Raw genomic sequence first — 10,890 nt, 5'->3', positions numbered from 1 at the left:
TCCCATGTTAGGTGGGGCTGGTACCCTGACTGTCAGGAGGCAAGGTCTGTGAACCTCGTGCCAAATAGCTACGTGAGCAAATAGTGAGATAAACAAGCCATTTGTGGAGACAGAGGTGGAGCTGGGCTTGGTTAGGAATGAATCAGGCCATCCCACAGAGTGGGTGTCTCCTTCCCAAGTTGCTTTCCAGGGCACAATTAAAACCCCTATAAAAGGCCCAGCTCCCAGTTACCCAGTACACTTGCCTGTGGTGTCAGCAAGCACTGTCGACTTCTTCCTCTGGTGAAGTGGGTAAGTCCCATTCTGTGGGATCGTGGTCTTCTTTATGATTCTCCATTTTTATAGCTATTTCAGATGTTGGGATATGGGGGGAGGTTCCATGTGCCAGAAGGTATCAGTATTTTGCAGGGATAAATAAACTATCACTAACTCTATCCCATCTTCTTATGGTTGGAGCCATCACTTGAACTGAAGCATGACCCTTCTCCTTGGGCTCTGAACTCTATACTTCTGCACATCAAGGATGATCATGTGTGGCTCTGATAGGGTTCATCTTCCTAAAAACTGCTATCTCAAAAGTTTGCCAGCCTTCTGTTCTCTTTTACATTGGTTCTACCTAATATGGGCCATCTTCATACAGTCACAGCATTTAAGGTACTGGAGTTGAGAAGTACATAAAGAAGTCAGCTAGATGAACGACTACACTTATCCCACCAGCAAAGCCATTCCATGTATTCTTATAACATTGATCTACTGCTGGCTAATGTTTTATAAAAAGCCAAGATTCCAATGATGCATTTGGGTTTAACAAAACCAATATCATTCACAGTTTTCTGGATTCCGTTTGGTTTAGAAAGGACCTCTCAGAAGCTTTCAATACTTCAATATCCGAATATCTTACTATATCTGAGTTGAGGCAGGTAATATACAGTCTCTGTTTTCTGCATTTGTGTATCTGAATGTTACAATGCCATCTTTTGACTAGGAAGAAGTACTATTTAATCTTAGAATTGCTGACTTACAAATTATATTCTATAAGAGTTCCTAAATCCTTTATGGACTGTAATGTTGAGGAATCATTCATATTCCCTTTTCATTGTTCTATTTTCTACCAACTGTTTTGCTGACATGGCCTCTATCCACTTTAAGATACTCTCAAGTCTTCCTTCACCTTTTGGCTTTTACCTGTCCTCTTCGCTCAACTTTAAAGGAAGGTGTGTAGACATATATAAAATTTTAATTTCTGCACTCTTCTCTTAATTTTCTACTCTGAAATACGGTGGAGAGCTGGAAGAAAGACAGAAGAAAAGGGCATAGATAATCCACATTGGGTGGACAATCAAAAGCTGACAACAGGATAGTCTGAAGATGATTCCCTGGCTTGGAATTTCTCAGGATCGCTCTTTCTCTTTCTGATACAATATTCAAATATTAAAGTGCTCTGAAAGTCCAGGTTGAAATTACCGCTATAAATTCAAATTATTTAGGGATCTGCCTGAAATAGTGTGAATGAAGCCTTCCCAAAAGCAGAAACGGGATTTTGATTCTGGATCTTATTTTATTGTTCTAGGTTTACTTGAACTTGAAGGAAAGAAAAAAAAATGTCTCCACTTCTGAGAAGCATCTGTGACATCACTGAAATTTTCAATCAGTATGTCTCTCATGATTGTGATGGAGCAGCATTAACTAAGAAAGACCTGAAGAACCTCCTTGAAAGGGAATTTGGAGCTGTGCTTCGGGTAAGAACTAACAAGAAAATGAGATCTATTGACTTGAGGCTATGAGATTTATTCTCAGAGGAGACCAGAGCAAGGAATGGTGGTTTTATATTCATTTTACACCACAACAGGTCTACACTACATCCCCCATTCATTTCTGAGTCAAAAGGTACTTACTTGACATTGTAGTCTGAATAATAAAGTATTTCATGTACTTGATGGCATGGCCATGTGAATGAGCTCTTCATGGGACATTACCACAAAAGATGTCAAATCACACTAGACTTGGAGGAACTTAAATTTGTTTCCAAATTTCAAAACTGAGATCAGCCTGATCTCTATTAAAATGGTGCTACCCGTAAATGTTTTGTTCTGTTTTCTAATATGGAATAGAAACCAAATCAAGAATACTGGCTGCTTCAGACAGAAATGGCTACTGCAAATCCTCATAAATTTCTATTGTATCTCTCTCAAGGATGAGTTCATTCTTTCTCAATTAAAGCGAACTTGTGTTATTCTTTCTTGATGTTGAGTAGCTTTGTTAATTTTACACACAAGTTCACGATGCTGTTTTGAATCTTCACCTCAGGCTCTGCCTCTAAGGTGCGTAGGCTTACCTGCTATTCTACTTTGTGTCTCTCTTCCTGCTTCCTTAGGTTTGATCAGCACTAAATTACGAGATGTAAAAATTTCAAACGAATATATGCTTTAAAGTGAGGGTTCACATTTTACATGGGGACAAAACTTGATACACACTGGACATTTTTCTAATTGCTCTGAATGTCTCTTGAATGTCAGCATAGCATAAAATATATCATGTGTGAATATAATTTTACCACCTGTAAATAGTGCATTGTAAAATTTTTGTTTTCACCATTTTTATAGAGACCACATGACCCTAAGACGGTAGATCTGATCCTGGAACTTCTGGATCTTGACAGTAATGGGCGTGTCGATTTCAACGAATTCCTCCTATTTATTTTCAAAGTGGCTCAAGCTTGTTACTATGCTCTCGGCCAGGCCACGGGACTGGATGAGGAGAAGCGAGCCCGGTGTGACGGAAAGGAGAGCCTGTTACAAGATCGCAGGCAAGAAGAAGACCAAAGGAGATTCGAGCCCCGGGACAGACAACTGGAAGAAGAACCTGGGCAACGACGCAGGCAGAAGAGGCAGGAACAGGAGAGGGAGCTAGCTGAGGGAGAGGAGCAAAGTGAGAAACAAGAGCGACTTGAACAGCGCGACAGGCAGCGCCGCGACGAGGAGCTGTGGCGGCAAAGGCAAGAATGGCAAGAACGGGAAGAGCGCCGTGCAGAGGAAGAGCAGCTGCAGAGTTGCAAAGGTCACGAAACTGAGGAGTTTCCAGACGAAGAGCAACTGCGAAGGCGGGAGCTGCTGGAGCTGAGGAGGAAGGGCCGCGAGGAGAAACAGCAGCAAAGGCGAGAGCGGCAAGACAGAGTGTTCCAGGAGGAAGAAGAGAAAGAGTGGAGGAAGCGCGAGACAGTGCTCCGGAAGGAAGAAGAGAAGTTGCAGGAAGAGGAGCCGCAGCGGCAAAGAGAGCTCCAGGAGGAAGAAGAGCAGCTACGGAAGCTGGAGCGGCAAGAGCTGAGGAGGGAGCGCCAGGAGGAAGAGCAGCAGCAGCAAAGGCTGAGGCGCGAGCAGCAACTAAGGCGCAAGCAGGAGGAGGAGAGGCGCGAGCAGCAGGAGGAGAGGCGCGAGCAGCAGGAGAGGCGCGAGCAGCAGGAGGAGAGGCGCGAGCAGCAGCTGAGGCGCGAGCAGGAGGAGAGGCGCGAGCAGCAGCTGAGGCGCGAGCAGGAGGAGGAGAGGCGCGAGCAGCAGCTGAGGCGCGAGCAGGAGGAGGAGAGGCGCGAGCAGCAGCTGAGGCGCGAGCAGCAGCTGAGGCGCGAGCAGCAGCTGAGGCGCGAGCAGCAGCTGAGGCGCGAGCAGCAGCTGAGGCGCGAGCAGCAGCTGAGGCGCGAGCAGCAGCTGAGGCGCGAGCAGCAGCTGAGGCGCGAGCAGCAGCTGAGGCGCGAGCAGGAGGAGGAGAGGCACGAGCAGAAGCACGAGCAGGAGAGGCGCGAGCAGCGGCTGAAGCGCGAGCAGGAGGAGAGGCGCGATTGGCTGAAGCGCGAGGAGGAGACGGAGAGGCACGAGCAGGAGAGGCGCAAGCAGCAGCTGAAGCGCGACCAGGAGGAGGAGAGGCGCGAACGTTGGCTGAAGCTCGAGGAGGAGGAGAGGCGCGAGCAGCAGGAGAGGCGCGAGCAGCAACTAAGGCGGGAGCAAGAGGAGAGGCGCGAGCAGCGGCTGAAGCGCCAGGAGGAGGAAGAGAGGCTCCAGCAGCGGTTGAGGAGCGAGCAACAACTAAGACGCGAGCAGGAGGAGAGGCGCGAGCAGCTGCTGAAGCGCGAGGAGGAGAAGAGGCTCGAGCAGGAGAGGCGAGAGCAGCGGCTGAAGCGCGAGCAGGAGGAGAGGCGCGATCAGCTGCTGAAGCGCGAGGAGGAGAGGCGCCAGCAGCGGCTGAAGCGCGAGCAGGAAGAGAGGCTCGAGCAGCGACTGAAGCGCGAGGAGGTGGAGAGACTCGAGCAGGAGGAGAGGCGCGAGCAGCGGCTGAAGCGCGAGGAGCCGGAGGAAGAGAGGCGCCAGCAGCTGCTGAAGAGCGAGGAGCAGGAGGAGAGGCGCCAGCAGCAACTAAGGCGCGAGCAGCAGGAAAGGCGCGAGCAGCGGCTGAAGCGCGAGGAGGAGGAAGAGAGGCTCGAGCAGCGGCTGAAGCGCGAGCATGAGGAAGAGAGGCGCGAGCAGGAGCTAGCTGAGGAGGAGCAGGAACAGGCCCGGGAGCGGATTAAGAGCCGCATCCCGAAGTGGCAGTGGCAGCTAGAAAGCGAGGCCGACGCACGGCAAAGCAAAGTCTACTCGAGGCCCCGCAAGCAGGAAGGGCAGAGGCGCCGCCAAGAGCAGGAGGAAAAGAGGCGGCGCCGGGAGAGTGAGCTGCAATGGCAGGAGGAGGAACGGGCTCACCGGCAGCAGCAGGAAGAGGAGCAGCGCCGGGACTTCACATGGCAGTGGCAGGCGGAGGAAAAGAGCGAGAGGGGCCGTCAGAGGCTGTCGGCCAGGCCCCCATTGCGGGAGCAGCGGGAGAGGCAGCTGAGGGCCGAGGAGCGCCAGCAGCGGGAACAACGGTTTCTCCCGGAGGAGGAGGAGAAGGAGCAGCGGCGCCGCCAGCGACGCGAGAGGGAGAAAGAGCTGCAGTTCCTGGAGGAAGAGGAGCAGCTCCAGCGGCGGGAGCGTGCCCAACAGCTCCAGGAGGAGGAGGACGGCCTCCAGGAGGATCAGGAGAGGAGGCGAAGCCAGGAGCAGCGCCGCGACCAAAAATGGAGGTGGCAACTAGAAGAAGAAAGGAAGAGACGCCGCCACACGCTGTACGCCAAGCCAGCCCTACAAGAGCAGCTGAGGAAGGAACAGCAGCTGCTGCAGGAGGAGGAGGAGGAGCTACAGAGAGAGGAGCGCGAGAAGAGAAGGCGCCAAGAACAGGAGAGACAATACCGCGAGGAAGAGCAGCTGCAGCAGGAGGAAGAGCAGCTGCTGAGAGAGGAACGGGAGAAAAGAAGACGCCAGGAGCGGGAAAGGCAATATCGGAAGGATAAGAAGCTGCAGCAGAAGGAAGAGCAGCTGCTGGGAGAGGAACCGGAGAAGAGAAGGCGCCAGGAGCGGGAGAAAAAATACCGCGAGGAAGAGGAGTTGCAGCAGGAGGAAGAGCAGCTGCTGAGAGAGGAACGGGAGAAGAGAAGGCGCCAGGAGTGGGAGAGGCAGTACCGCAAAAAAGACGAGCTGCAGCAGGAAGAAGAGCAGCTGCTGAGAGAGGAACGGGAGAAAAGAAGACTCCAGGAGCGGGAGAGGCAATATCGGGAGGAAGAGGAGCTGCAGCAGGAGGAAGAGCAGCTGCTGGGAGAGGAACGGGAGACGAGAAGGCGCCAGGAGCTGGAGAGGCAATATCGGAAGGAAGAGGAGCTGCAGCAGGAGGAAGAGCAGCTGCTGAGAGAGGAACCGGAGAAGAGAAGGCGCCAGGAGCGGGAGAGGCAATGTCGGGAGGAAGAGGAGCTGCAGCAGGAGGAAGAGCAGCTGCTGAGAGAGGAACGGGAGAAGAGAAGGCGCCAGGAGCTGGAGAGGCAATATCGGGAGGAAGAGGAGGTGCAGCAGGAGGAAGAGCAGCTGCTGAGAGAGGAACCGGAGAAGAGAAGGCGCCAGGAGCTGGAGAGGCAATACCGCGAGGAAGAGGAGCTGCAGCAGGAGGAAGAGCAGCTGCTGAGAGAGGAACAGGAGAAAAGGCGCCAGGAGCGGGAGAGGCAGTATCGGGAGGAGGAAGAGCTTCAGCGCCAGAAAAGGAAGCAGCGATACCGGGATGAGGATCAGCGCAGTGATCTGAAATGGCAGTGGGAACCAGAAAAAGAAAATGCAGTTCGTGATAACAAGGTTTACTGCAAAGGCAGAGAGAATGAACAGTTCCGGCAGTTGGAAGATTCCCAGCTGCGCGACAGACAATCCCAGCAAGATCTGCAGCACCTGCTGGGTGAACAGCAAGAGCGAGATCGTGAGCAAGAGAGGAGGCGCTGGCAGCAGCGCGACAGGCATTTCCCAGAGGAAGAACAGCTGGAGCGAGAAGAGCAAAAGGAAGCCAAAAGGCGCGACAGGAAGTCCCAAGAGGAAAAGCAGTTGCTGAGAGAGGAAAGAGAAGAGAAGAGACGCCGTCAAGAGACAGACAGAAAATTCCGCGAGGAGGAACAGCTGCTCCAGGAAAGGGAGGAACAGCCGCTGCGCCGCCAAGAGCGTGACAGAAAATTCCGCGAAGAGGAACTGCGCCATCAGGAACAAGGGAGAAAATTCCTCGAGGAGGAACAGCGGCTGCGCCGCCAGGAACGGGAGAGAAAATTCCTTAAGGAGGAACAGCAGCTGCGCTGCCAGGAGCGCGAGCAACAGCTGCGTCAGGACCGCGACAGAAAATTCCGCGAGGAGGAACAGCAGCTGAGCCGCCAAGAGCGTGACAGAAAATTCCGTGAAGAGGAACAGCAGGTGCGCCGCCAGGAACGAGAGAGAAAATTCCTGGAGGAGGAACAGCAGCTGCGCCAGGAGCGTCACAGAAAATTCCGCGAAGAGGAACAGCTGCTCCAGGAAAGGGAAGAACAGCAGCTGCACCGCCAAGAGCGTGACAGAAAATTCCTGGAGGAGGAACAACAGCTGCGCCGCCAAGAGCGTGACAGAAAATTCCGCGAACAGGAACTGCGCAGTCAGGAACCAGAGAGAAAATTCCTCGAGGAGGAACAGCAGCTGCACCGCCAGCAACGGCAGAGAAAATTCCTCCAGGAGGAACAGCAGCTGCGCCGCCAGGAGCGCGGGCAACAGCGGCGTCAGGACCGTGACAGAAAATTCCGCGAGGAGGAACAGCTGCGCCAGGAGAGGGAGGAACAGCAGCTGAGCCGCCAAGAGCGTGACAGAAAATTCCGTTTAGAGGAACAGAAAGTGCGCCGCCAGGAACAAGAGAGAAAATTCATGGAGGACGAACAGCAGCTGCGCCGCCAGGAGGGCCAACAACAGCTGCGCCAGGAGCGCGACAGAAAATTCCGCGAAGACGAACAGCTGCTCCAGGAAAGGGAAGAACAGCAGCTGCACCGCCAAGAGCGTGACAGAAAATTCCTCGAGGAGGAACCGCAGCTGCGCCGCCAGGAGCGCGAACAACAGCTGCGTCACGACCGCGACAGAAAATTCCGTGAAGAGGAACAGCTGCTCCAGGAAGGGGAGGAACAGCAGCTGCGCCGCCAAGAGCGTGACAGAAAATTCCGCGAAGAGGAACAGCAGCTCCGCCGTCAGGAACGAGAGAGAAAATTCCTCCAGGAGGAACAGCAGCTGCGCCGCCAGGAACTGGAGAGAAAATTCCGTGAGGAGGAACAGCTGCGCCAAGAAACGGAGCAAGAGCAGCTGCGCCGCCAAGAACGCTACAGAAAAATCCTAGAGGAAGAGCAGCTCCGTCCGGAAAGGGAAGAACAGCAGCTGCGCCGCCAGGAGCGCGACAGAAAATTCCGCGAGGAGGAACAGCTCCGCCAGGAGAGGGAGGAACAGCAGCTGCGCAGCCAAGAGTCTGACAGAAAATTCCGCGAGGAGGAACAGCTACGCCAGGAGAGGGAAGAACAGCAGCTGCGCCCCCAACAGCGTGACGGAAAGTATCGCTGGGAAGAAGAGCAGCTCCAACTTGAGGAACAAGAGCAGAGGCTGCGGCAGGAGCGAGACCGGCAGTACCGGGCGGAGGAGCAGTTTGCCACGCAGGAGAAGAGTCGTCGTGAGGAACAAGAACTATGGCAAGAAGAGGAGCAGAAACGTCGCCAGGAACGGGAAAGGAAATTACGGGAAGAACACATCCGCCGCCAGCAGAAGGAGGAACAGAGGCACCGCCAAGTCGGGGAGATAAAATCCCAAGAAGGGAAGGGCCATGGGCGGCTTCTGGAGCCCGGCACTCATCAGTTTGCCAGTGTCCCAGTGCGCTCCAGCCCTCTCTATGAGTACATCCAAGAGCAGAGATCTCAATACCGCCCTTAAGTGATGTTGCCAATATCTTGACACCTGCCAAAGCTTCGAGCACGGGAAAATGAGAAACACTGGGTACCAAGTGATAACTCAGATGTTTCTGGTTGTGGGAAAACTCTCTGATATTAGAATGTCTTTTCTTCCAAAATCTTAAACTACGCTCATTTTACGCACTTTGTACTTCTGCTTTTTATTCTTCCTCAAGTAGTTCTTTACTGCAAGATGTCTTTCTTTTGCTCTTTGATGCAGATGTGGTGTGCATTTAAAAAAAATATAAATCATTTAATTTGTTTAAGAAATTTTGTTTGAGGAACATGTTCATTTATTGCTTTCAGAAGTAACAAGAGTAATAGGATGATTTGAGATTCTAAACAATGGGTCGGTTTGTTTAATGACTGACCCATCTTGTGGAAAGTGCAGATACTTTTAATGTTCAAGTTGCTATTTCTTCTTGAACCTAAATTGATCATTGCCTCCAAACAGCATTTCATCTTTTGTGGCATAGTTAGCACAAATTCCAGGTAACTAAATTTTTATAACCCTTGAATAGTGCAGGGGGAGTGACCTCTGCATAAAAACTTCCTGTAAAATCAGCCCATTACTGGAAGAAATATCTGTTAAGAATAGGTTTAGCTTTGAAGATTTAGAATTTAAATTAGATTTTTTTTAAACTCAACTCCACTTAAACACATAATCTCATGAAGAAATAATGAGGTGTTTCTCAACTTCAGAGTTCAAATTTTAAAACTGTGTCTGTTGTAGTCTATAGTGTTCATTCTACTTCCCCAAGTTTTGATGAGTTTCAGAATATTATGAACCTTTGTTAATTTTAGCTTGTTAGAAGGAAGCTGCTCAGAATCCCATAAACATCTGTCTTACTCTAGGGCCAATAAGAGATCACATAGAGCATGTTGGGGGTGTAAAAGGGAAAAATGTGTGAACATAGGGGCAAATTTCTAGAGGCCCTTTGACAAGACCCATTTGCCCACAATCATTTGAGGCCTATTGATAATACCTTAGATATATTCTTGTTGAAATAATTGGACTGTGAAAAATTAATAATAAATGTTTGGCAAGTAACTACTTTTGTCTGTTTTAACTCTGCGTCAATCATAACAAGATCTCATTGTCTGGAAACTAACACAAGTTCCCAATCACATAAGGGCATTTTGTTACTTATCTATGTCCAAATACGAAAAAAGAGGGGAGAGAATTCTTTGTTTTTCCCCAACCTTTTTTTTTTTTTTTTTTTTTTTTTTTTTTGCAGTTAGGCTGAACTCTATTTCCATCCCCACACTGAGATTGCCTTCCAGAGTGTTTTTGTTCTTGACCCCACAGCTTTCTATGCCATTTCTTGCAGCGACTCACTGGTCATGACAAATACTGGTGCTCCCAATATTTGTTAATATTTCCTTTAGAGAATGCAGCAGCTTCTTAGTCTCTGATGTCTGATGAGCCAATGATAGAAAATGGCCTGAAACTTCAGATCAGCACTATAAAAACTGTAGATGTCCTGTTAATTTAAGCAACATAATCCATGAGGTGACTGAGTCAGAAGGTACTTAATAGTAATCAGGCTGAAGTATCAAATTATTATCTTGTTAGATAATAATTTATTAGATAATAACAAACACGCCTGTGCTGCCTGCTGGATTCTTATTTTTAGTATTCATAGTTTACTAACTAGAAATAAGCCCAAGAAGGCCCTGATCAAAACAATGTCATTTCTAAGATCATGATGAGAAGATGCCCTAAAGTTATAGTCACTCAACATTTTGATCAGTGGTGGAGACAAGCTAGGCTTATGGCTCCTGAGTATCATTCTGATAGAGTAAGATGGCATTTTCTTCAAGAAGCACAGCTTCTCTCTCTCTCACTTTAACAAATGGCAGATGCCCACCAAAGACATAACCTGGGAATCCCCTGACATTGTCTTGGAATTTCATCTCTTTCAAATGATTTCTAACTGCAAAACTATTTTTCCCCTAAAGTATACTCTTTTTCTTACTTAAGCACCTTCAAAGAAATTCTGGAAGAGCTTCACTGACTTTCCTCAGGACCCTCTATGGGTACTCATTCAAGAGCCTCCTTATAAATGCCCAACCTCAGGATACCACTGAAATATACACTTCATCAGCTAAGCTACAGTTTAACAATGATAATTATGGTAAAAATAAGCAAAGCCCTGGGGACTTGTAGCACTTTACAAGAAGGTAAAGCCAATTTCCAAAGAAGAAAGTATTGTTTCATCACAGTTATAATAACATGTAGTTTAAAAAAAAATGTGTCAGCCAGCCCGTGCCCTCTAGCTGTTATTTTAGCATGCTGGCAGGAGAACATGCAGGCCAAGCCTCCTGCTCCACCTGAATGATACACATGCATTTGCAGAACCTGGAGGCTGTTGGGCAATTGCCTACTTAATTATAAACTGGGAACTCTATTAGCATCACTTAGGCTGCTGCTGGGGAACGCAATCAAGAGTTTAATATGCAGTGATAGAAAAGCTGGTCTCTATGTGTTGTGACCTCCCAACCCCCACAGAGGTTCACGTGTTGAAGTCTTAACCCTCAGTACCTCAGAATGTAATCATATTTGAAGATATGGT

At 49.7% G+C, this 10,890-nt stretch overlaps 1 protein-coding gene across 1 annotated transcript; it reads left to right on the top strand.

Annotated features, from left to right (window-relative positions):
* On the top strand, nucleotides 238-9,365 carry TCHH (trichohyalin). The gene is made up of 3 exons (NM_007113.4): nucleotides 238-291; nucleotides 1,571-1,739; nucleotides 2,604-9,365. Exons 2-3 carry the CDS (start codon nucleotides 1,602-1,604, stop codon nucleotides 8,295-8,297), a joined length of 5,832 nt encoding a protein of 1,943 aa, NP_009044.2. The 5' UTR covers nucleotides 238-291; nucleotides 1,571-1,601; the 3' UTR covers nucleotides 8,298-9,365.

The sequence above is a fragment of the Homo sapiens genome, chromosome 1, assembly GCF_000001405.40.
Source record: "Homo sapiens chromosome 1, GRCh38.p14 Primary Assembly".
Taxonomy (NCBI): domain Eukaryota; kingdom Metazoa; phylum Chordata; class Mammalia; order Primates; family Hominidae; genus Homo; species Homo sapiens.
This window is presented reverse-complemented; position numbering and strand designations above follow the sequence as displayed.